General features: G+C 42.5%; 1 annotated feature.

Moving 5' to 3' along the window:
- Positions 4,523-4,642: an enhancer, noted in NCBI's record as "active region_27851". NCBI's record gives its function as "activates an Ori minimal core promoter by ATAC-STARR-seq in GM12878 lymphoblastoid cells {active_cell/tissue: GM12878}" and the evidence as "EXISTENCE:reporter gene assay evidence [ECO:0000049][PMID:35858748]".

The following is a 27,769-nucleotide window of genomic DNA, read 5'->3' on the forward strand; positions in this document are numbered from 1 at the left end:
GCTGAAGGAAAAGAAACCATCCAAAAATCTTTGGGGGTCAAGAGAGATTTCTAGGGAGAATGGTGTAGAAACTGAAAGCTAAAGGGCTGGTATGGAGGATGGGAGAAGAAGAGGGGGCAATTTTTCTAGGTAGAGGCCGAAAGGTAAGAGAGAACATAAGAAATACAGGAATAATTGCCCAGCAATTGGGAATGCCAACAGATAGCACAAAGGAGAAACAAAGTACCCCAAAACATAAGGATCCAAGACCCAGCTAAAGCCTCTCCTATCCGGATAGATGTTTCACGTGCAGCAGATCAGGATGTAAATTCACTTAATGATTCCAGCCAAGAACCTGGCATCCCAATATGTCCCTTCCAAGGAACAGTGTCCTAAATGGTTCTTGGTCGATTTCATGAAGGAAAACTCTTTTGCGGCTCGGGCTTGAAGGCACACACTGGGAACAGGCAAGCGTGGGCACCCCAGGAGAACCCTGCCTGGGAAAACACTGTGGCTGATGCAGCTTTCTCCTGCCTCTCTCAGCAGAGCTTGTGTCACTCGCTCCCTGGAGGGGCAACTTCTTGAATGAAATCACTGAGCGGTGGAGAGGAGGTCTTTGTAAGGCTTTTAAAGTCAAGCTCTTCCCCAGGCTGGGATTGGGAAATGCAAAATTTGCTGATTGAATTCAAGCTTCTCCGAGCAGGTGCAACAAGTGTGAATGTTCTCAGATTGTGAACAAGGCCATGACTAATTCTCACTTCATGTACCCAGCCTCCAAGCCAAGAGCCACAGGTTCACTTCTTCATGAATCCCCGTGAAAAGCAAATGCAATCCTCCCCTCTGGTAGGAGCCTGGGCATGAAGTCAAGGTGGAGAAGGCTCGTTATCTTAATGGTGTTGAGATCATAATTACAATAATAGTAACAAATAATATTTACTGAGCACATACTCTGTGCCAGGTACTGTTATAAGCACTTTGCATAAATTAAACTAACTCATCTCAGAAACCCTGAAGCCAATAATACTACTATCCCAATTTTACAAAAACAAAAAGATGTCCAGAAAGGTTATACGTAGGTGGATAAGGAGGTAGAAAACCACAGAGTTGTCAAAACCTGTAACACAAAATAAACAATATCCATACATAAAAATAGTAACATTTTTACTAGAACTGACTACAGGACCTCAGATTAATCACCACACATGGACCTACTCAGAGGCATCTACAGCGTATCAGGACAAAACGGACTTGAATGAGCAACGCTAAAAGCCATGAGAAGTTCAAGAGAATGCTTTTGTTGTGAGAGACAGTGTGCCCAGCTAGAGGGTATTAGGGAAGGTTTAGGGAACAGGTGAGGCCTGGGATCTTGAAGGATGGGCAGGATGTCATTCCAGGTTAAGGGAAAAAGAAAGAGGGAGGGAGGGAGGAACATGTCCAAGGAAGTGCAGGAATTGGATTGTGGCTGGAGTATTGACCACACACACCGGGATTTTCAGACAGCCACAGTAGACTCCAAAGGCCCTCTCAATTCATCTCTAGAATAACTCAGTTTTTATCTACTTTATCTATTGGGCTTCTGTATGCATTTCATTTGAAGAAACAATTCATTTAATTTCTATTTTTAAACCTGAACACCAGAAGGTAGAGAAAGCATAGAGGAGGAAGAGGAAACAAAGCAAGAATGCTAAGTTGGGAGAAGAGCCTGGAGAGCTGCAGTCAAGAATATCAAACCTGCACCATTCCCCACCACCTCTCTCCATTCTACGACCATAGCAAACATCACTGGTGGAGCAGGTAATCCTTCCCTACTGTGCAGACTCCGAAGCCTTCCATAAACATCAATGACTCCAGGCATCAGAAGTGAGGCATCACGGAGCTAGGCAAGGGAGTATGGGCTTTTTTCCTACGACAACAGAGAGCATGTGTTTTTGAAACATTGTCCCTAAAGGTTCATTGATTTCTAAATAATGCTACCGCGATGGGGCCATGAATCCATGTCCAGGCCTCACTTGTAGGCAATCTCATCTCAAAGAGATCTTCACAAATGACTCCCTAAGTGTCCTGATCTTCCCTCCTACAAGGTCCAGATCCCCAACAATGATTAATCAGTGAAACAAGAAGTGAGAAAGGACTTCCATAGTGTCCAGAAGGCCAACCTGGACTGACCGTTTTTCCATTACCACACAGTGAGAAGCATCCTTTGTTAGTAGTGGAAATTTGGGGATCCAGGAGTAGAGTCAAAATCTATGTTTCCCAGTCCAGAGATGGCAGGTGATGGGGTAATGAGGCTGCTACAGAGGAGGGGTAAGAAGCAGGTGATTCAAGCAGTAAGGAAGGATAAAGGGTTAGGCGGAATACAAGATTCACCTGCTCCTTTAGGTGTAAGAAGCAGGATCTATAGACATAACTGTGCTCTGCTATATATCTCTGCGTGACCTTAGACATGTCAGTTCACCTCTCTGAGCCTCAGGTTTCCCATTTGTACCTTGGAGGTAATGCTTTCACCTAACGCCCCACCTCACAGGGTATGTAGGGAACATCTGTTGCTTATTCCCCCTTCTCCTGTCAACAACAAAATTTGCTTTTTACCCAGCTTGGAAGGGCCTTCTCATCAAGGTTTCTCCATAGTCTCTGGGCCAAGGAGTGTGCCCAGGCTGGGCCCATCTGACACCCTTACCCCGGATTCCTGAACAGGGAAATGCAAAATTGAGAACAGTCAGGACCAAGGCAGGGCAAAGGTAGAGCCTGAAGAGACGACCCCTTTATTCCCGCTCCCCCGTCCCAGCCCCAGAGAGCTCTGGGTCCTGCCATTGTGTGACCCATCTGCATAGTTCAAAAAATCTCTCGATACTTAGATGAGCCAGGGTCACCAAGAATGCTGGCTGACACAAAGGTATCGAATGAGGACGTGATGTGAGGAAAGGCACTTAGACAACATAAAAGATGTATACAAATGCCAGATGGTATTCTCCAGAACATTCCACACTGTCAGCCACCCAAGGGTCTTATTAAATGATTGTTGAAGCAAGACTGTTGAGTGTGCTCTCTGTTCTTGGACACAACTTTTCAGAGATGCTTCTGGCCTTTTGTGCTCATGGACAGAGCTACTCACTATGGTCCTTTTGCATCCCCAGCAGGTCACAGGGCACTGAGTCACTAGAATGTGTCATCTTTATCACACGATGCTCAAAGCCTTCTGTCTCTTTTCCCTGTCTGATTTACTTCCTTTACTTCAGATGCTTATTCCTTGACAGACTAATTTCAAATGAAAAGCCATGGGAAGCAAGGCAATATTTTTGCCCTCAGTTCACACCAAAAATCTGTGAGATAATGGCAAGTGATGACCAGATGCTCTTAGGGCTTTGCAACTTGCCAGCTTTGTGACAAAGCAAGTCATTACCTCTCTGGACCATGGTTTGCTGCCTGTCAAATGCCGGTGTTAAATGAGAAAATCTCTAAGGACTCCTTTAGGGCTGAAATTCTCTAAAACGATTTGGCCCCACCTGGGTTTAATGCCAATCCATCTCCTGTGCTCCATCTTTAATGCAAAGAGATCATGGCACCCCTCTCGGCCAGGACCTTTCAGGTCTAAATAAGTATTCCTAAAACTTCTTTAAACCCCAGAACAATAAATACGTTTCATTGAAAACATCTATAGCATTCTTCCTCAAGGAAAATATCAGATCTTAAAAAGAAATAAAACCTCTACAACAAAAACTAAATCAAGCAATTTAATTAGACATCACAGAAAAGAAAAAATAACTGTATCAGATTTTATTACAGAAAATATAAAACTGAGAATTTTCCCAAATGCTTGCAGCATGCTTGCAAGCTGTTCAAAGAAAAAAAGAAAAAGTGTTCCACAGTGCCATATTAAAGCGTAATAATAAAATAAAACTACCCAATGTTGCACAAATACATCCATCTCTGTAAGGTGAGGTGTCAAAATAGATCCTTCGTGTCTCAACAAGTGAGGTTGCCCTTGTGAGGACCAGTTCTTTTTGCTGCAGAAATGGAAGCACTAAACTTTGAATGGCCTCTTGTTGAAATATCAAAGTGGTTAAGGCCCCCTGTTGAGTGGAGGAGAAGAGAGCTGGAAAAGATTAAGTATCCTTCATTTACTAGATCTTGATTTCAGGGCTTCCCATGTGAAACCAGAGCAGCCTCATCACCAGCCTGGCAGCCCTTCAAAATTCATCTTTTCTGCTCCTAAGACAAATCCATATGTCAGCACCAGCAGAAGCGGCAGAGATCCCAAGAACTGAGCAGTCCTGGCCCCACAAGGGTGGAATTTGCTCCAAAAGCCCTGATTGTAAAAGCTGCCATCAGGCAAGGAGAAAGCAGAACCGGAGCCCAGCAGGGACACGTGGGTGCTCCCCTCTGAGGTTGGCCAGAGCCCTGCAGACAGACCCCTCCTGAGGGCTGTTGCAGGGATCCCATTACCTTAGGAGGGCAGGAGAGGTTTTTTGTTTGCATTTGGGTCCCCCTAGTGGAGTAATGAAAGTGCACTGTCTTGGTCTCCTGAAGAAGGCATGTGCAGAGACGGAACCCCCCTCAGGGAAGTTAAAACCAGCTGCCAAAACTTGTGGCTGCCTTTGCCCCCTCTTCCCCGGAGTATGCAAATAACTCTGCAGCCAAGCAACCAATCAGCATGTAATTCACACCTACTGTCTACACAGCTTTGAAGGGCAGGGGAAGTGCAGGAGAGATCGGCATCATCTCTGTCTCTGGAGGTGCTCATAATACGGTGGGAGGGATGATGCAATGATTAGCAAACACTACACCTCACATTTAATAAGTGCCAAACTTATACATGAAGTCATGTCATGTAACGGTCCCTAGAGAAAGCCTCGAAATCAGACTGCCTGTGTTCCTCTGCCTACCAGCTCAGTGACTTTGGGCTTTTTCATTCAATAGATATAAACTGAGCACCTAATATATAGCAAGTACAGGTCTGGGCAAAAGACCTGTACACAGCAAAAGAGACCAAAAATATCTTCCCTTTTGAACTATATACTCTTCATTGATGAAAAAAAAAAGTTGTTCAAAGTACCTATCCCATAATATTGTGCGGTTAAATAAAATAACCTTAGCACTTAGTGGAATAACGAAAGTGCACTGTCCTACTCCACTAAGGCCTGGCACATGAAAAAAATCTCAGTAATGTTAGCTTTTGTTATCATTCTGATTGACCCTGGAGCCTTTATTTTGCTTCAGAGTCCTTCCAAATTTGTGCATCAAAGGGGCAGCCATCCTGGGCTGGAGTCAAACAACTCAACTCCTAACTAGTGAACCCCAAACATCCAGGGGCCTCCAATGTTCTGATGAGTAAAATATGGTTGGTTGGAGAAGATGCTATTAGTGCAGCTCTGATGGGTCAAGTTTTCAGACTTTTAATGGGCCAGTAAAAAAAAATGAGCGAAAAAAAAAAAAAAAAACTCTTCAACTGAGTGGTTAAAGAGTTTCCTGTGTGTAAATAGGTCATGTATATATCTGTCTGCCTGTCAGGCCCACTTAATCCCAATGTCCCCTCCATTTGTACTGCCTAAGAGTCCTGCTTATATTGTTCCTCTCTTCATATAAGCATGCTGGTCATGGCTCCTGCCCCCATAAGAGTAGACATATGGTATAGAATTCCATGATATGGATTTGGGCTTGTACAGAGGTGGGAAACCCCATGAGGTCTGAAGCCTAGTGTGTCCTCTAATAGATCTTTTGCTGGAGAGCACTATAAGAGAATAGGAGACACTGTCCCAGTCAATGACAAATTCTCACCATTTGGATATTTCTCATCTTTGAAACCTCAAAGGGAAGAGGAGTAATTGAATTGGCAGAGCAAGATCTGGCATTTCGAGGTCCTCTACCCAAATACTATTTTATGCATTTAAACCCTACCCGTTTCTATCCCTGAGAAAGGAATCAGTATCTCTCTGTTATTGGGTCTCTTTGAGCCATTATACTCTAAGACCCAAGGTTAAGAGACCTTGGTTGGCCTGTGGCCTGTGGCACAGAGGTTGGCCTGTGGCAAGAGAAAGCAGAAGAAAATAGTGAGTGGAGAGCATGACTGTTTTTTAGGATATTAATTATTTTAACTTGCATTAATGTAGATAGTTTTCTGAATATGCTTAATAAAAAATAAAACATGAGGCAAAGAATAAAATGTGATCTACCTTTGAAATAAAAAATCTAAGTTCAAGATCCAGTTCTACTTTTGTTATAGACAATGGAATTACTCCCCAATGACTCCAGTTCTCCTTCCAGGCACATCGGGAAATGGTCCTTCCCTTCTCCCTTGAAGTTAGGTCAGGCCATGTGGTTTCTTTAGTCAAAATGAAGTGTGAGTGTAAGAAATCTGATTTACTATCCAGTAGAAGCATTTAAGAACCAGTGTGTGGTTCTCTGTGTTCTCTTTTTTCTTCTGCATTAACTCTGGAAGCACTTGTTAATATAAGATTGAAAAAGCCTGGAATTCTCCAAACCCACAATGGACTTTGCACAATAATTAACTTTTATGTTATTAAGCCACTGAGCTTTTTAGGGTAGTTTGTTACTAAGCATAACCTAGCCTATTATGACTGATACAGCCTCTTACTAACTGTATTGTTTCAAGTATGTTACTTAACCTCTTTCAGATTCAGTTTACTCATTTGTAAATGGGGGTAATAACAGTTCCCAGCATTAGGTGAGGATTAAATGTTACAATGTATCTTTGAGGACTTACTAAATTACAAAGTATTATACACATTAAACAATTCAATGTCTGTTAACTGAGTGTCTCCTATTGTCTAGGCACCATCTGAAACACTAGAAAAGTGGAGATAAATGAGTAAGGCCTCTACCCTACAGGAGTTCATACACCTTGCACAAATCACTACACTTGTTCTCTGAGCATTGAAGGTGAAAAGACACAGTCTTAGGAAGCTCACAGTTAAGAGGGAAAAGCAGACAGATAAGAGGAATCTTTCTGTCTTACCAAAGAATAAAAGGGAAGAAGTGAACATTATCATTCTGTCTGTTTTATTCAAATCTACAAAAGAATGCCCAAATGGCCTAGCAACTGCCTGCCAAAAAAAAGAAAAAAAGAAAGGAAGCAAAAAGAAAAAGAAAAATGCAAATGATCTATTTCAATTAATCTTTGAACTCCATTGTCTACTTTCACCTTGATCTCATTCCCTCTTTTTCTCAATATATATCTCTAACCTGGAGCTCTCTGAAACGCTCCTGACAGGCAACTCTGTCAGTCTGACACTTCCACCTGGTTGTTGTAAGAGAACCTCTAGTTCAGGAAATCCAACAACAAACTTAGCATTTCCTCCCGGAAATGCCAGCTCTTCTTCCCCATCTCTTCCCATGCACCCAGTCTCTGATGTTGGGAACATCACTGTCATCTTTAACTCTTCACCTTCCTCACCCCAAGTCCCAGTAAATTTCCAAATCCTAAAGACTCCACCTCCAAAATCTCTTGCAGTCAGTGTTTTCCTTTCTATGCCTACCACCATTCCTATACTACTGCAACGTGAAAAGGTTCCCCTTTAATCCATTCTACCTTATTCTTTAAGTGCAGCTACGATCTTCTGTTCTAAAACCTTTAATAACTTTCCACTTCTTACCAAATTAATTCAAACTACTCACTCAACTTTAAGTCTCTCCATATCCTGAAAATCTTTTGACAAATATTTGTTAAGCACCTTCTACGTGCCAAACCTACCCACTGTCCAAGCTCTGAGGATGCAGACAGAAGTAAGATCAGTCCCTACCCTTGAAGAGCCTCTTGTCTGGATGAAGAACTATGGTGCCCAAGAAACACATCTCTTAGATCTTCTTTGAGAGAACCTGCTATAGGGAAGACAGTTGGCAGACACATCCGTGACCTCCAGGAATACCAAGGCCACATTTCCCCTTAAGCTGCTCCTGGCCAATGACTGAGCATGGCCAGTCATTAAAGCCAGTTTTCTCCTGCCCAAGGTGAGGTTTTTCTGATGGGCAACTTTGGCTCAGCAACTGCCCATTGGCCTGGCTGAGAAACTCTCAAGATCATGCCACAACCTTCTTTGGTTTTTTTTCTGCCCAGTCTGGCCTGCTCTCTCTCTCTCTTCACAGGTGTCAGACCAGCATTGAGGTCTGAAGGGCTGGGCTACTCATGCTCTTTTCCCCGTTATCCTTCACAGGCATTCTTCCAACAAATCAAACCCTTACCTAATTTCATCTCTGTGTCTGCTTCTTGGAAGACCCAAACTGACACAGAGTCAATCATATAAATGTGGAATTTCAGTTTGGCATGGTGAATACTGTGTGACACAGGTAGCCACAGAGAGATCTGGGAGCATAGACAAGGAGCACCTCAAACAGAATCCAGGGAAGGGAAGCTTCAGGGGACATTAGGGCATGAGACGAGGCTGCTCTGTGAAAGATGCAAGGTTCATTTCATTTGTCTCCACCTTCCTAAAAGTACTTTACACACATATGTGGAGCCTGAATTTTTGTCCCACACACCCACAAACTTATTTTATCATTGGTGGTTCAATTTTCCACACTTGAAGTCCAATTTGAAAAACAGGAGTTCCAGGTGGGAGTTCAAAATATCCCCTCTATTACTAAAAGATAGAAGGCTGAGATTTCCTTTGTTTTTTTTTTTTGTTTTTTTTTTTAGATGGAGTCTCACTCTGTTGCCCAGGCTGGAGTGCAGTGGTGCGATCTCGGCTCACTGCAAGCTCTGCCTCCCAGGTTCATGCCATTCTCCTGCTTCAGCCTCCAGAGTAGCTGGGACTACAGGTGCCCGCCACCACACCCGGCTAATTTTTTGTATTTTTAGTAAAGATGGTGTGTCACCATGTTAGCCAGGATGATCTCGATCTCCTGACCTCGTGATCTGCCCGCCTAGGCCTCCCAAAGTGCTGGGATTACAGGCGTGAGCCACCGCGCCCGGCCAGAAGGCTGAGGTTTCTTGTGACAGCCAAATGAACTCTCCTCCTTGGGGATCTCCTGAGACCACTGGTGTATAGTTTATATTTTGCTTATAGAAGTCTCTGAAATGGTTTAGAACAAAGCACAGGTGGGCTAAGTAAACTAAGTGGACATAACCACCCTGATGCAGGCAGTGGAATTGAATAGGGCAAGCATTCCCTGGAAGAACCAAGAGGAACATGACTTCCTGAGAATAGCACATTCCCAAGAGGAAGAAAGGTAGATATGGTTGAAACATGCCCAGTCTGCGCTTCTCACAGATGCAAATCAGGTGAGTCACTCTATCTTACCTGGAGTGGAGAAAGGTCAGAAGTCAAACCGAGTTTCTTTAACACAGAAGAAAATGTAAGATGTAGGGGAGAAATGTTCTCTAACATTCTTTAGCTTTTTGCTGTCAACTCGATCATCTTTATTGTTTAGTCCATGGTCAACCTTAGTGACCATGGTCCTCACAGGACTTCACCAAAATATGAGTCTGCATCTCCAGTACAAATTACAAATGCCACTCCTGGGACGACTGAAGAGTGGTTTAGATATTACTTCCTGAAGGCTCTGAAATGCATCAGAACGGAATCAAAATTCAAGCAATGACAGGATGACTCCAGACCTAAGGCTGCAAATTCACTCCCTAATACATCTTCTATATCACATTATGTACCACCATATTGTCCAATGTAGTGTAGCAATGAGATTAAATAACAACAGTAAAATGATCCAATAATGAACTGCATGAAGACATTTATACAACAGAATGATTATAACCCAGAAACACTCCCTTATCAAATTCTTAAAGAAAAATATACAGTATGCCACAAAATTAAATCCTTCTAAAAGTTAAAGTCTAAAGATGTTCAAAGCTGAAGGAACTAATGCCCAAAAACAACGTATTTTGTCCTTATGTATTAAAAGCTCAAAATCCATAGTCCTTACAACGTATTTTGTCCTTATGTATTAAAATCTCAAAATCCACAGTCCTTAAGTGCAATTAAAGCAAATTTCTACGTGACCACCACATAAAAGGTGAAACTCTTAAGTTGAATTATTTTTTAATATCATCACCAAAACAGTGTATGAGAAAAATGCATGTGCGCAACTAAAGTAAATATTTTGTCTGCCTGGCTAAGAAGGACTAGCTTTTTCCTAGTTAACTAAATAGTCTAACTAATGGCTAACTGGATGGCTAAAGGGACAATGGCAGAATTGCCAATGTTTTAAAGACTGAGAATAAAAAAAGAAAACACTTTTGCACTGAACTATACAGACTGTGATTTAATATTGAGTTGGGAGTATCTTCTGGTTGAGCCAGAAGCCGCTCTAGAATCTTGCTGTGATTAGAGAATCATCTTTGTGTCTGTGGCAATAAAAGGCCCAGGAGGCAGGGATTGCAGCTGATACACCCTATGAGCTTTTCCATGCTGGACTGAGAGTACAGCAAGTTCAGAAGCCTCCTCTTCTCACTTTCCATTACGCAGGGCATGTATATTTCCAGCACCTGACAGAGTGCCAGTCGCTGAAAAGATATTGAATACTATAGTGTTTCATAAATTCATGAAATTAATAGGCATTTGCTGTTAAAGAGCCAAACTAGCCAGCATCCACAGCAACGTAAGAACAGTCAACCAAATGGTACACGGTATTTCTGTTTATTCTTCTCTCATTAAAGAGAATTATTCTAGGTACTGTTTCTCCTTTGATTACAACCACTAGCAAATGAAGCCAGGCTGCATGGCTCAGCTCCTGGTGTACATGAGACGTGCAGGGTTATTTGGGTTGGATTCTAATTTCACAAATCTTATCACAAGCAATAAGCATGATTAAAAATTTTAGTCATCTAGAAAGTTAAAGCTACTTGTTTTCCTTTTTCTGAAGCTTCTGGGGTGGGGGAAAACAAATGTTTTATATCAACAACCAAGAAAATAAACTGAGAAGTTTTTGCAATTGTCTGACCCACCCCTCAGGCCACTTATTCAGTTCCTGCCCTTCCCCATCTCTCTTGCCCTCTGGGTAGCTTGCTCCACACTGATTTTCTCTTCTGCCCTGGCACCTGCCAGAGAAGAAGCAGATGCTCATCTTGGCTAGCCCCACTTGGCCACAGCAGGCATTCTGGCCTCTCTGCTGCCTGCATCCTGTTCGTGTCCAAGCATTGCGTCAGAGAACTCCAAGAGCTAAAGCACAGCCTTCCCAAGTCAGTCAGATGCAGCCAGCCCTCCAAAAGATCAGTCATGACATTCTGCCACCTCTGGTCTTCTCCACCCAGGAATCCCCATTCACATTCCACACTGTCCCCTCCCCTAGTACCCTCAGATCTTGATGCTCCTCCTTCATCACTTCAGGTAAGCCCTGAGATTGCTGCAACCCAGGGCCAAGGCATCTGTCTTGTGACCTCTCTGGCTGGGCTGCTTGCTTGAAGAGGGCAAGGTAAACTTGCTTGGAGAGGGAAGCTAGTGGGATCATATCCTCTCAGCCATCGGCACCAGTTCCCAGGGGCTCAGGAGCTCCACACACCCCTATAAACTCGAGTTGCCTCTCCTCCTGAACCTCTTCCTTCTCTTCCTTCTCTTGCAAGCCTCATGCCGTCCTTTGCCCAGCTGTCCTACCCTCTCCTCCAATCCCAGTATTGTCTCTACTTCTTCAATGCCCAGCCTTTACTTGATAACCCTTCCTGATAATCCCACAATAGTTTGGACTTATGTCTTATGAGGTTCCTGCAAACTGAGATTGGGATGGAAATCCACATGCAGGAAATTTATTGATGGGTCCTCTCAGGATCAAAACCCAAAAGACCGAAGAAAGCAGGACTAGGCAGGGGGAGAAGCTGATTGTGATACGGTCACATAGAAATCTCATCCCAATCCTATGGGGAGCTATGGATCTGCGATGGCCATTCAGAGTGTCCCACTTTGAAACAGACTGCCCTTGTGGAGAGGACATGCTCTTGGGCGAGGCTGCTTTCTTCTAACTAGGCAATTCCTAGAGAGAAACTCAACTGAGACCCATCAGCAGCCAACACTCCCAGCAACTGGAGGACAGAATGCCTGAATCATAAAGGGAGATCTGGATAGCACAGCACAGCATCCTTTGCACACTGACAGCATTATAATGCAGAATCTTTGTTCTTTCGTTTATCAAGAGGACAAAGCCCTGGAGATATATCAGCAGGCAGCTCTCACTACACTGTGAGCCTTTCAAGGACAGAAACCATCGCTTTTCTCTCTGCACCTGATATATAATGATCACACAATAAACAATTGCTGAATGAATTAATGATGCAATTGCAGAGGGGCTGATAAATAACTCTTCTTTCCCCATCCAAGTTCAAAATAACTTGAGAGACAGAAAAATCAGACCTACGGAGGCCAAAATATCACCTTTATTACTGGCAAGAGGTGCTGCTAGAGAATGTGGATTCCATTTGTGGGAACGTATAAGAAATAAATAATAGGAAATCTCAAAGTTAGAAAGACTTTTCCACCTAGTCCTAAGAAGTATGGGAAAACCACAGACCTGCCCCAAGCACATGGGAGGGCAGAAAAGAGCCATCTTCTCTGGGACTGTAAGTAGAGGAAAAAGCTGAACTGAGAATAATGCTCAGTCTGTTCTCCCACAATTTGCTAAGAGAGATAAGTCACCCTCCTCCCCTGCAAAGGGAAGGGAAGGGAAAGAGCAGGGCATTAGCCTAGTGGCACCCCCTCCATGAATATGGACGCACCAGGATTAAGGAAGCTTTTTATCCCTAATAAATATGCACTGGCCAGACCCAACTGAGAGCTGTCCAGTCCCTGATGCCAGTTATTACTAAAGCCAGGTCCACCCACAACTCTGTCATTTGCCTGAGCGAATGTTGCCCTCTTGTTCCCCCTTATAGCAAGTGCTACCAGGATTCTCCCACAGCCTTGACTTCTTACCTAATATAAATGTAAGAACCTAAGAAAAAATTAAACATATTAATAGAGAGAGACTCACAGTGTGAGTAATTTAGGCTTAAATCACTGGTGGTAAATTTGGAGCATGTGTGGTTAATATGGAAATAACTCTCCTCTAACTTCCTGTACTGGGTACTAAGAACATTTTCCTTGAAACTTGATGTAATCTCTGGCATGAGGCCAGTGGCCAAATGCCAGGGAAAGCCACCTTTGGGGTAATGATAATATAATACTCTTGACTAGATTACAAGATTGGGAATTGGCAGCACTCAGATATGAGTTAAACAGAATGAATTCGGTCTATGGCAGTAAAAATAAATCAGATTTATCCCCAGTACTGTACTGGCCACAAAAGGTGCATAACTCCGGCCCAGAAGAATAAGAAAATTAGGTTTGCATAGGAACTTAGAGCAGACAGAGGAGGCAACATGGTTTCTAGTGAAGGCTCCAAGCCTGAAAAGAATCCCAATTTATGTCCTCTTGACAATGGCTTCTCTCCTTACAATTAAGGTTGGCAAAGGTCTGGCTTAATGTTTGGGCAGATCAGATAGTTTCACAAATTGCTCACTTAAATGGCAAGCTAGAGCTTTCATTTCCCAGAGATTTGGGAGCATTTGCATTCCTATACATTGAACTGCAGCTGGAAGAGGAACTCCAGAATCTAAACTTCTCCCTTGGCTCAAATCAAAGCCAGGACTATGAGACCTACTAGTTCAAAAGCTCCCAGTGACACACAGCTTTCTAGAGAAATATTGACAGAAGGGAAGGCTACATCCCATACCTCTGGGTTGTGAGCAGATAATATTAATATAAGATGCATATTAATGCAAATTAAGATTAGTCACGTATTCCTGTGCTTGCAGTAAAGGACTACAATGTTGTCTTTCCTAGGCACACCTGTCTCTCTCTGGAACCTGATTCTAACCCCAGCTCTGCCTTGGATAAGCCCTAAGACTTGGAGTAAATTACTAGCCTATCTGGATTTCTCAATTTCATCATTTGTAGAATCATCTGACAATGATAGCTCAAGTCATTTTCTATTCTAGAATAATATGCCTACAATATGGGAATGTCTACTGCTAAGCATAACTACTTGTTAAATGAAGTAATAAATAAGAGAAAAAGTGACTGATTGAAAAAATACATTAGTAAGTGGAAGCTCAGTAACTTAATAGAAATATCTCTGCCCATTCAGCCATTCTCAATCAGGTTTGTGCAAAAGAATTTTCCTTAAAGCTCTAAGGCAGCCACAGTATGGAATGAATTAACTTCTCTCTATGCATCTACAATGGTACTAGCTAAGCACCAACTTCAGGAGAATTGAGAAGGTCACGGAAATCATTGTTCATGTTCTGCAGTCCCAGTTGAGAATGACAGTATGACTATTGAATAGCCAACCAATTTGTCAAGGAGCCAGAATTTGCAGAAATGTCCACAAATTTAACGAAGTCCATCAGCAAGTTCTACATGTGCTGTATGATCTGGAGACTGATCCATTCACCATCCCCACATTACAGTACATACAGACATGTACATGTGTGCTCAAGAGACAGAAAGTCTAGAGTTCTTATCCCAATCCAATCTTGTTGTGCCACCCACAACAAATTACTTCATCTCTTGGAGTTTTTATATCCACATTGTCTTAATTTGGGATCCTCCAAGCACAGATCGTAAAATAAGGATTTTGGTACAAGCAGTTTATTTGGGAGCTGGCCCAAAAAAGCATGGGGTTTCTCAGCTTTGGCACTATTGACATTTGGTCAGATCTTTGTTGTGGGGGACAGTTCAAGCACTGTAGAATGTCTAGCTGCATCCCTATCCTCTACCACTAGATACTAGTAGCAACCCTCCCGCTCCAGTTGTGATAACCAAGAATGTCTCCAGATACTGCCAAATGTCCTCTGGGAGAAAAAAATCGCCCCCAGTTGACAACCACTGATATGGTGGATAGTATTATCTTTGGCCCAGATTTCCTCATCAGGATATACTACCCTAGCATTTGGGAGTGTTGGATGCTGACTGATCACAAAGGAACCCCCTTCTGGAAACTGCCCTTGGTTGAAGAGACCTGCCTCACATCCAGGTTATGCCTCTTCCCTAGGGGCAGCCTATATCCAATGACTGGTCAGTGCAGGGGTCCTAAGGCCCAGCCCCCTTACCTCAAGGCAGGACAACTATGAAAGGCCGTCCCAACTCTAAGCTTGCTGGGGGATCAGCAAATCCTCTATTGCAACTGCATCCTTGTCTTTTTCCAGATCTTAGAGGAAAGGTTTTCCATTATTCCCCATTTCGTGTGATGTTAGGTGTGGGTATGACATATGTAGCCTTTATTGTTTTGAAGTATGTTCCTTTTATACCCAGTTTGTTGAGAGTTTTTATTGTAAAGAAATGTTGGATTTTATCAAATGGTTTTTCAGCATCCATTGATATAATCATATGGTTTTTGTTCTTGATTCTGTTCATCTGATATATCACATTTATTGATTTGCATATGTTGAGCCATCCTTTTATCTCTTGGATGAGTCTTACTTGATCATGATGAATGATCTTTTTAATGTGCTGTTGAATTTGGTTTGTGCATTTTGTTGAGAATTTTTGCATCTATGCTCTTCATAATATGGCCTGTAATTTGTTGTTGTTGTTGTTGTTGTTGTTGTATCTTTGTCTGGTTTTTGTGTTAAGGTAATGCTAGTGTCATAGGGTGTTTTGAGTTTGCCTCAATATTCCCTCATGTTCAATTTTGTTGAATAGTTTTCGTAGAATTTCTATTAGTTCTCCTTTAAATGTTCGGTAGAATTCAGCAGGGAAATGGTCAGGTCCTGGAATTTTCTTTGATGGGAGATGTTTTATTATTGCTACAATCTCAGTACTTATTTTTGGTCTGTTCAGGTTTTCTATGTCTTCATGGTCCAATCTTGGTAGGTTGTATGTCTCCAGGAATTTATTCTAAGTATTTCAATTTGTTGACATATGTCTTTGTTTATGATAGTCTCTAATTATCTTTGGTAATTCTGTGATATTAGTTGTAATATCTCCTTTTTGTCTCTGATTTTTATCTATTTGGGTCTTTTCCTTTCTTAGTTTATGTAGGTAAAGGTTTGTCAATTTTGTTTATCTTTTCAAAACACAAATTTTTTATTTCATTAATCTTTTGTGTTGTATTTTTAGTCTCAACTTTATTTATTTCTGTTTTGATCTTTATTATTTATTTCCTTCTACTAATTTGGGGGTTGATTCATTTTTCTTTCTCTAATTCATCGAGCTGCATCATTAGGTTGTTTATCTGAAGACTTTCTGCTTTTTAATGTAGGGTTTGTTGCTACAAACTTCTCTCTTAGTGCTGCTTTTGCTGTATCGTCTTGGTATGTTGGGTTTCCATTTTCATTTGTTCAAGCAATTTTTTGATTTCCTTTTTAATTCTTCATTGATCTATTCATTGTTCAGGAACATTTTGTTTAATTCCCATGAATGTGTACCATTTTCAACATTCCTTCTGTTATTGAGTTCCAGTTTTATTCAATTGTAACCAGAAAAGATATTTGATATGATTTTGATTTTTTTAAATTTGTTAAGACTTGTTTCTGACCTAACATATGGTCTACCCCAGAATATGTTCCATATGTTGTTGAGAAAAAGTCATAATCTACAGCTGTTGGATCAAGTATTCTGTAAATGTCTATTAGGTTCATTTACTCTAGAGTGCAGTTTACTCCACTGTTTCTTTGTTGATTTTCTATCAGGATAATCTGTCTATTGCCAAAAGTGGGGTTTTGAAGTTTCCTACTATTAATGTATTGCAGTCAATCTCCCTTTTAGGTCTTTTCAAATGGGTTTTATATATTTGAGTGCTCCAGCATTAGACACATACATATTTATAATTGTTACGTCATCTTACTGTGTTGATCCCTTTATCATTCTATAATGGTATTCTTTGTAGCCTTTTAAAAAAACTATTATTGGTTTAAAGTCTAATTTATCTGAAATAAGTATAGCTACTCCTGCTCTTTATTGTTTCCATTTGAATGGACTATCTTTTGCCATCTCTTCATATTCAGTCTGTGTGTGTCTTTACAGGTGAAATGCATTTCTTACAGACAACATATAATTGGGACTTGTTTTTATACATTCAGCCACTTTCCCTTTTAATTGGAGAATTTAATCTATTTTCAAGACTATTATTGATAAGGAAGGATGTATTGTTGCCGTTTTGCCACTTGTTTTCTGCTGGTTTTGTGGATCCTTTTTTCCTTTTTTTTTCCTCTCTTACTTTCTTTGTGGTAAAGTGATTTTCTCTGGTAGGATATTTGGATTCCATGCTATTTATTTTTAGCATATCTATTACTGGATTTTGCTTTGTGATTACCATGAGGCTTATAAAAAATGTTTATAATTATATCAGGTTATTTTAAACTGAGAGTGACCTAACTTTGATTGCAAAGAAAAGTAACAAAAACAAACTCTATACTTTAATACCACCCCTCCTACACATTTTGACCTATTGATGTTTCAATTTACATCTTTTTTATTGCCTAGCTCCTAACTAATTATTGTAGCTATTACTGATTTTAATAGTTTTGCCTTTTAGTCTTCATACTTAAGATGCAAGTGGTTTACTTACCACAATTACAATAGTAAAGTATTCTGGATTTGTCTATTTTTTCACCAGTGAATTTAGTATCTTCAGATATTTTACATATAATTCTAATATTATACATTAGAATCCATTTTTTTCTGAATTAAGAACTCTCTTTAGCATTTCTTGTAAGACAGGTATCATGTTGATGAATTCCCTCAGCTTTGGTTGGTCTGGGAAAGTGTCTCTCTTGTTTAAAGGATAGCTTTCCTGGGTACAGTATTCTTGGTTGTCATTTTTTTTTCCTTCAGCAGTTTGATATAGCATCCCACCCTCTCCTAGTTTTCAGGGTTTCTGCTGAGAAATCTGCTAAAAGCCATGTTGGAGCTCTATTGAATCTAATATGCATCTTTTCCTTTGCTGATTTGAGTATTCTTTTTTGGTCTTTAATTTTTGCTATTTTGGTTATAATGTGCCTTGGTTGGGTTGAATTTGGTGACCATTGAACATCCTATACCTGGATGATGTCATCTTTTTCCAGACTTGGGAAATGTTCAGCCATTATTTCCTTAAATATGCTTTCTAGGGCTTTTTATCTCTCATGTCCTTTAGGAATATTTATTACTTGCAAGTTAGTTCACTTGATGGTATCTCATAATTCCCATAAGCCATTTTTACCCTTTTTGACCCTTTTTTCTTCTTGCTTCCTCTATTGGGCAATTTCATATATTCTATCATCAAACTTTCTAATTCTTTCCCCTGTTTGATCAAGTCTGCTGTGGATGCTTTCTAATGAGTTTTTCTTTTTTCTTTTTTTTTTTTTTTTTTGACAGAGTCTTGCTCTGTCACCCAGGCTGGAGTGCACTGGTGCGATCTTGGCTCACTGCAACCTCTACTTCCAAGTTCAAACAATTCTCCTGTCTCAGGCTCCCAAGTAGCTAGGACTACAGGCAAGCACCACCATGCTGGCTAATTTTTGTATTTTTAGTAGAGACAACGTTTCACCATGTTGGCCAGGCTGGTCTCAAACTCCTGACCTCAAGTAATCCACCCACCTCAGCCTCCCAAAGTGCTTGGATTACTGGTGTGAACCACCATGCCCAGCCCAGTTATTGTATTCTTCATTTCTAAGATTTCTATATGTTTTATTTTTAATTATTTCTAATTATTTGTCAAATTTCTCCTTTTGTTCCTGAATTGTTTCCCAAATTTTATTTAGACTTTTATATGTATTCATTTTCTTGTTATTCTCTTAACTTTTATAATTATTCTCAATTATCTGTCCAACATTTCATAAATCTTCCATTTTTCTGAGTCTGTTGCTAGAGCTTTGTTGGTTTCTTTTGGTGGTGTCATACTTCCCTGAATTTTCACAATTCTTGTATCTTTACACTGATACCCATGCATTTGAGGTCACAGTCATCTCTTCCGCTTTTTACAGGTGTTATTTGGTGATGTTAGACCCTTACTACTTATTATTGGAAATTACACTCTGCCCTGTTGTTTCTTCTCATTCTGGGGAGGGTTTATGGTGAGCACCAGAACTAAAACACTGCACTGGAACTAACTCACTACACTGCCATTGTTTCCCAGTCTGTGAAGGACTTATAGTCAACAAGAAAAGTTAAATGTTTCCTCAAAACTATATTGCTGCTGTGATGTCATTTCCCAGTCTGCAGAAGATTTAAGTGGGAACTGGAAATTAATCTCAAACTTTTAGTTGTTTCTGGGCCAGGGGAAGGCTCCACATTAGCACCCGGTGATACACCCAAATCTCATTTTGAAATGTAATCCCCAGTGTTGGAGGTGGGGTCTGGTGGGAAGTGTTTGGATCATGGGGGAGGACCTCTCATGAATGGCGTAGGTCATGCCCTTGGTGATAAGTGAGCTCTCACTCTGAGTTCACACAAGATCCAGTTGTTTAGAAGTGTGTGGCACCTCCCCACTCCCCACCACACCTTCTCTCTCTCTCTCTCTGTTTCTCCTGCTATCACCATGTGATGTGCCTGCTCTGCCATGAGTAAGTTTCCTGAGGCCACCCCAGAAGTGAAGGAGATACTGGCATCATGCTTGTACAGCCTGCAGAACTGCGAACCAATTAAATCTCTTTTCTTTATAAATTACAAAGCCTCAGGTATTTCTCTATAGCAATGCAAGAATGGCCTTACACATCTGGGCTTTGTGAAAAGTCCATACAGGGATTTGGGCCTTCCAAGAAATTGTGTCCCTGTAGCACTACAGCACCATTAGTCTCTTAAAAGTGGCATCCCCACTGATCAAAGGGCAAAGTAGCCACCAAGGGCTAAATGACCGCTGCTGCTATCAGTACCCTTCTCTCTGTCCCAATTCACCCCAGGTAATTCAGCCCTCCTGGTGCTCCCAATTATTCTAGTGGGATGAGATTGTAGTGGGTCTCCCATAAGATTCCCAGACCAGGGAAGAAATCAAATGTCCACTTCTAATTTCTTCCTCTCACCTTGGAAACTGTGTGTCTAGGGAAAATTTTTGTGAGTGTCATTATGCTGGTTTTGGGGAGGGAGTGGTACAATCTGAAATGACCAAGTCTCTTACTAGTCATGGCTTCTCTCAATTCTGTGGGCCCAAGGGATTTCTCTGCTTTCTCCATGAGTCCTGGTAAAATCAGGGTGGTATTCTTCTATTTGAATAGTTTCTAGTTGTATTTCGTGGGAGGGTGATGCTAGGGGCTCTTCTATTCTGCCATCCTGCCAATGTCTGTCCCCTAAAATGGAATTTTAGGAGCTGGATCCCCCATCAGTTGGCTGGCAATAAGTACCTCATCACTGGTGGTAGGCAGAGTACTGAGAGCTCTGGCATGTTGACATTGCAATTATTGAAACTGTCACCTGTTCTGAACTGGATGAGATTCCTACGGAAAGAAATGCACTGGCTGGTGAATAGATATAGCATTAAGAGGTGCAGGGCAACTGAAGTAGTAATTAGAAGTACAATAAAATCAGATGGCTGCTGCTAGGTGCTATAAATTCATTAGAGAAAGACAATGAAATGTTGAGGTGATTTATCATTATTAAAAGGTAAGGAAGGAAAGTCAGAGGGTTTCCTTGGCAGCAAGCAAAGAGATGCTCATCTCCTACAGCCAGAGGACAGAAAAAGCTTAATTAACAGGTCGTGGAACTCCACAGAAGGTTGACATCCTTAAAGCTCTGATTGGGAAGGAATGGAACCCTGATACCTGGGTGGAAACAACTGGGTCAATGCACTGAGGAATTTTGAAACACGGGATCCTCCTGAACCTCCTGGACCTGAAGGAGTAGCCCATTCCTCCGTGTTATAGGCCAGCACTCCAGCCTATCCCCTACCGCTTCACTTGAAAACAGTTTGAGTGCAGAGGTCCTCAAGTGCAAGACAACAAATGATCCCCTGAGAATCTCACCCCACCTCCTCTCCTGGCCACCAGAACAATAATTAGGGTCGAGTTACAACATGATAAATCCAGGGAAGTGCTAGGCCTGCTATGAAGGAACCGTAGGCGAAAGAAGATGCTAGTCCTCACCAAGATGCATCAACAGAAGCCAGGAAAGTCTGTATAGGACTGGATCCCGAGGGCCTGGACCAAGGGGACAGAATATAAAGTTGAATAAGAAAGTTTATTGATATGAGAAAATGATGTAACACTGGCAACAACCACAGGAGATGGTGTTGATATGCATCTTGGATGGCTACTGAAAGCTTGAAGAAATTGATGTCTCACCATAAGTGAGGTACAAATGCCAGGACTTCCTCCAGACAGTGGAGGAAGGAGTCAAAAGGCTCAGAGAAGGAGGTGTGTAGCATTGCTATAGTACTTGTGGTGGGCACACCGTTACATGACCCTCAATGAGCCATGCCCTTGTATAATCCCTCCGCTTGAGTGCAGACAGAACCTGTGACTTGCTTCTAGCCAACAGTGTCTGGCAAAGGTAATGGGATAGTCATTCTGTGGTTATGTTACATTATACAGTACTCTAGGTTGGCATCCTGGAATGAGAGATTCTCCTGCTGGCTTGAAGAAGTGAGCTGCCATGTTGTGAGAGGCCCTGCAGGAAGGAACTGCAGATCACCTCTAGGAATTGAGAGCAGCACCCAGCTGACCATCAGCAAGAAAACAAGGACTTCAGTCCTACAACCACAAGGAACTGAATGCTGCCAATTAGCACATGAGTTTGAAAGAGGATCCTGAGCTCCAGTTAGGAGTGCAGCCTGGCCAACACTTTGACTGTAGCCTTTTAAGACCCCAAACAAAGGACTTCAGGTAAGCCATGTCCAGATTTCTGACCTCCAGACACTGTGAGAAAATGACTGTATGTTATTCTAAACTGCTAATTTTGCGGTAAGTTGTTATGTAGCATAGATAACTAATATAACACTTAAGGCTGGAAAACCCACCAGCCAGTAATGTCCATGGGATGGCCCAGTGGGTGCCTCATTTACCAAAGTAATGAGAAATATGTCCATGAGGTGGGGTACCAGCATCACTGGGATGTTCAGTGGTGGTCATCCTCTGTGGGTCACAGCTAATGCTATTACAGACCCCCTACTAGCAAAGGGACTGATTGGGTTTCAAAATAATGAAAGCCACGTAGCAATGTTGAAGTATCAAAAGCAAAGTTGTCACAATTACTGTAATGAGTGACAAGGTTAAAATGTCAGCCATGGGCCAGGCATGGTGGCTGACACCTGTAATCCCAGCACTTTGGGAGGCAGAGGCAGGCAGATCACGAAGTCAAGAGATTGAGACCATCCTGGCCAACATGGTGAAACCCCATCTCTACTAAAAATACAAAAATTACCTGGGCGTGGTGGCATGCACCCATAGTCCCAGCTACTCAGGAGGCTGAGGCAGGAGAATCTCTTGAACCCCGGAGGTGGAGATTGCAGTGAGCTGAGATCATGCTGCTGCACTCCAGCCTGGCTACAGAGCAAGACTCCATCTCAAAAAAAAAAAAATGTCAGCCAAGGGCCTGATACACAAAGTTCTAGAGGTATTTGGAGTGAGAAAAAAAAATGTGTGTAGCGTTTATGAGAAGATCAAATAAGAAAAATTACTGCATGAAAACTCTAGTGTTCTATGGCAGTGGTCCCCAACCTTTTTAGCACCAGGGACCAGTTTTGTGGAATACAATTTTTCCATGAACAGGGACAGGGAATGGGGGAGGAGTGGGTATGGTTTCGAGATGAGACTGTTCCACCTCAGATCATCAGGCATTAGATTCTCATAAGGAGTGTGCCACTTAGATCCTCACATGTGCAGTTCACAATAGGGTTCATGCTCCTATGAGAGCCTAATGCTGCCACTGATCTGACAGGAGGCAGAGCTCAGGTGGTAATGCTCACTCGCCCGCCACTCACCTCCTGCTGGGCAACCCAGTTCCTAACAGGCCATAGACTGGTACGGGTCCAAGGCCCAGGGGTTGGCAACCCCTATTCTATGGCAATTCCAGGCTATTCACAGCAAAGAACAACACACCATGCAAAAAAAGTCCCTCACATGCTAGTAAAGATGGAGCCTATAACCATGGACATCAAATGATCATGCAGCCATTATGAGCTGGGTTCCCATCGTGAGCTGGATTCCCATTATGAGCTGGATTCCCATCATGAGCTGGGTTCTACCACACCCAAGAAGTCATAAGCCAAGGCAACCCTGCAGCAATCCACTGCCACATGGAGGCAGCACATCCATAATCAGGCACTGACAGGGTCAGAGGGCATAAATAAGCCACACAAGCAGGTGGCCCAGTCCTCAGCTACACAAAGGTGCATTAATAAATGGACTATAGCTGTGGGCAACTGGGGCTCAAGCTTCCTGGGTATCCCCCAAAAGCCTCTATAGAATACACCTCAGAAAGTTTTCATCAGGGGTAAAGAAACTGGGGTATTTATCCACCAATTGCCTGCTTTCTTTGTTTGAAGATTTCTCCCAGGAGTTAACTCCCTGGCACTTCAGATCTCTTCCCCAATCCCAATACATGGGCTGAGCATGATGTTTCCACCAGAGAACACTCTCAGGCAGCGAGACAAAGATGCCTGAGTTAGAATTCCCTTGGCCTGGATGAAAACTGTCCACCAAAGCTTCTGGTGACCTCCTTGGTGGATGAATGCTGATAACCAAAAAAAAAAAAAAAAAAAAAAAAAAAAACCTCTGTAAAATATTGAAGGAGGTTTATTCTGACCATGGCCTGGGAAACAGTCTCAAGAAAGCTTGAGAAAGTGTACCCAAGGTGACTGAATTACAGTTTAGTTTTATACATTTTAGGAAAACAGAAGTTACAGGCAAAGACATAAATCAATACATGTAAGGTATACATTGATTTAGGCTGGAAAGGCAGAACATCTCAAAGACGGGGCTTTCAGGTCATAAGTGGGAGATAGATAGATGATAGATAGATATCTCCCATATAATATACATATATCTCTCTCTGCTGTTTTTTTTCATATGGATATATGTGAAGAGAGGGAAAGATTTTTAAATCAAGTAGCAATAGGATATTACAGTCCATAAAAGGTAAAATTTGCCAGTGTATACACTCTCAAAATTTTGTCAAGATCGCCTCCTCACAAATATTAAAGGGGCACTTAACAAATATCAGTAGGGCAGCATTTCTTCTTATTTACCCAACATAAATAGCACTTGCTCTTGCTACTGAGCAATCAGCTTGTTAAAAGATTGTATCATAGCAACATTCAGCCAGAGAACTTTCCAGAGCGTTGAGACATCCTTCTGGGTGGCTACAGTTGTCCTAGCAGCAAGATGGAACAGAATAAAAACTCCCAGCTGAGTGATTAGTGTACTGGGCCTTAGAGACCCAAATCTGCCACAAACTGGATGCATGACCAAGTAGTTTGGACTATATCCATTCCTTCATTTATTTAACAGATATTTACTGAGCATCTCCTAGGTGTCCAGGCTCAGAGCCACTGTGCAGGGGACAATCTCCAAAGTCTTTTTCAAGTCTAACTGGAGACTCAGAAAGGCACATTTGTAGAGATATGGAAACATTTATCAAAATCAGCATCTCCCAACATAGCCAAACCCTTGATCCTCTTGTAAATGACCCCCTTGCACATCATCCTTCTTTGTAAAAAGATAGCAGTTGTTCTGAGTCCTCTTCTTGCCCACGGAGAAGAGTTCACAACGGAAATGGGAAAGGATGGAAGTGCGTTTGTCTGGGGCCGCTGAGTCAGCCAGACTCCTCCCAGCTCCTAGTCCAGTCTCTCCTCTCTTCTCCAGAGAGGCACGCCCTCTCTGCCACTTTGTGGGCTGTGGAAGCTGATTAGCATTTTGCACACTTCAGCAAACTGAGCTTTGGAATTTCACTTGTCCCCTCAGCAAAATATCAGGTGGAAGAGGAACAGATTTGAATGCAAAGGACAATTGCATAATTTGCGTAAGTCCCAGGACAGAAACGCCACATGACTCTGCTAGTTTGCTTCTTCTCTTTTGCCCTTTTCCCCAGCAAGCCTAGAAAAATAATCCCACAGCCTAGCAACTAATCCCACACGTGACCTTTTGGCAACTGAGGATGCTTTCTTCACATGCTGGAAAACTGCGACATAGCTCCAAATTAAAATGCCTTTTGCCTCTCATTACCATATTAAAGAGTTTGAGGTTGTGAGATGACAGTGCACTTAAATTGTCCAGGAAAAAGAAAAGGTCATTCTTTTATATTCTGTACCTGACCTACGCTTCTTCATGAGCTTCATTTCACAGAGGAGCAAGGGAAAATAATAAACTCACCAACTGAAGGCCTCTCAACCTCTTCCAGTTTAAAACAGCCTCTTTCAAGCTGAGTCGCTGAGAAGCAAACGCTCAGTTTTTCAGGGTTTTTTCATGCCTGGGTGCAAAAGAAAGCTTTTATCTTGCAGTAGCTAGAGACGAGACCTCATATGTAAGACCTCCTTCATGGAAGGCAAATCTTCCCTAGGAGGCAGCTGAGCTGGGCGGGTCTCCGGGACCCAGCACAGGTATCTTCTCTGGCACAATGAGTGCCTCCCCACCCTTTGGGGCAATAAGCTGGCACCTGCTGCTGAAAAGTGTGGTTCTTGCCCTTTCCTCCAGCTGAGATGTCTCTGTACAATCAGTACTAAGCCAGGCCTCTGCTGACCCAGCAGTTATTTCAGGCCCCACATCTTCTCTGCTGGATTCTTTTCCCACGGCTGTCATAACAAATTACCACAAACTACATGGCTGAAAACAGCAGAAATGTATTCTTTCACAGTTCTGGAGGCTAGAAGTCCAAAATCAAGGTGTTGCTAGTACCACTGTTCCTCCAAAGGCCCTGGAGAAGAATCCTTCCTGGTCACTTCCATCTTTGGATAGCTCCTGGCCTTCCCCGGCTGTGGCAGCACCACTCCAATGTCTGCCTCCATCTCCACATGGCCTTCTTCCCTGTGTCTCTGTGCCTCAAATCTCCCTCTGTCTCTCTCTCTTTTTTTTTTTTTTTCATAAAGACACTACTGCTTGGATACAGGAACCACCCTACATTCAGAATGATTTGTCTCTGTGCCTCAAATCTCCCCCTCTTTTTTTTTTTCATAAAGACATTACTCATTTGATACAGGACCCACCCTAAATTCAGAATGATTTTATTTCAAGATCCTTAATTACATCTGTAAAGACTTATTTCCAAATAAGGTCACATTCACAGTTACAAAAGATTAGGACTTGGACATATCTTGTGGAGGGCCACGAGTCAACCCAGTACACCCTCCAAGGGCCATCTGGGAACTACTAATTCCATTACCCCTCTTACCCGAAGTTTGCAGGCTGCAGAGAATCAGGAGTGCTGGTTCATCGATTGAGATGTGTCCCTCAGCTATTTCCCACCCACTGCTCAGGTGCTACGGTGAGGCTGGACTTCTCTGTACATCCTGGGAAACCTGGACAAGAGTTGTTTCTGCTCTAAGATGCATTAAAATTTATCTGGAGTTTCAAGCAAACCCTCCAACTCCTTGCTTCTCTATCCTGCCTCACCCACCTTCCTCCCCTACATTCAGCCTCATCTTCCCGCTCCCTTGGAGGAATGTTCTGAAAGTAAAATGAACTCAAATTCAGAAAACCTGAGCTTGAACTCCAGGTCAGACATTTATTAACTATCTATCCTTAGGCAAATCATTGTCCTTATTCTGAATTATTCAATGCCAGGCTGCGACCATGACAGAGACACCCAGACCTTCAATCCCTTTGTTCAAGTCAGTAAGCCCCTTTCCACCAAGGAGAAGTTGGCTGCCACATAATATTCACCGAGCCATGGCTCCAGCTGCCCTGACAACTCCACCTAAGGGGAGACAGGCCATCCTCCAACCCTGCCTGCAAGGACCACAGCTTGTGAGCTGCCTAAAGGTGCCACCTGCCCAGTTCTCATCACAGGACTAAGCAGCTTCCCAGTGGCCCCAGCTCAACACTGAGCCATAACCTTAGCTGATTATCCGTCCTCTTCTAAGAGACATCCAAGGCCTTTTTCATCACACTTCGCATCCTCAATTATCTCAGGCACCATAGGAAGTCCCATCATTATATGTTTTTTGCTTTTGTTTTGTAGAGATGGGGTTTTGTCATGTTGCCCAGGCTTGTCTCAAACTCTTGGACTCAAGTGATCCACCTACCTCAGCCTCCCAAAGTGCTGGGATTGCAGACGTGACCCACCATGCCTCCATCATCATATGGACACTTATTTTCATACTGCTGGTGCATCTGCTAATTAAACCATCTCCCATCCCTCATCTCCCCTCAGAACCTTTCCACAGAGCCCTCTGGAACTCATGCTTTCACCGGCAAACTCCCCTTCCTCCTCAACCTCTTCTCTGAACATTCCAGTCACCTTCCTCCACTAACTAAAATCGAGCCAGTTCCTGATGGTCCCACAGTCTTCTCAAGCAGAAATTATTATTTTTCTCCCCTAACCCTTAAGCCTTGGGGTATGGAGGTGGGGCAGTGATACACTTTGGGTGTTGTTCCCACCCAAATCCCATATTGAAATGCTATCCCCAATGTTGGAGATGGGACCTGGTGGGAGGTGATTGGATCATGGAGGTGGGTTTCTCATGAATGGGTTAGCACCCTCCCTTTGACACTGCCCTTGTGATAGTGAGTGGATTCTCAGGAGATCTGGTCATTTTAAAGTGTGTGGCACCTCCCCCCTCACTCTTATGCTCCTGCTCTGGTCATCTCATGTGCCTGCTCCTGCTTCACCTTCCACCATGAGTAAAAGCTCCCTGAGGCCTCCCTAGAAGCTGAGCAGATGTCAGCATCATGCTTCCCGTACAGCCTGCAGAACTGTGAGCCACTTAAACCTCTTTTCTTTATAAATTA

Source organism: Homo sapiens, chromosome 8 (genome assembly GCF_000001405.40).
Source record: "Homo sapiens chromosome 8, GRCh38.p14 Primary Assembly".
In the NCBI taxonomy this organism is placed as follows: domain Eukaryota; kingdom Metazoa; phylum Chordata; class Mammalia; order Primates; family Hominidae; genus Homo; species Homo sapiens.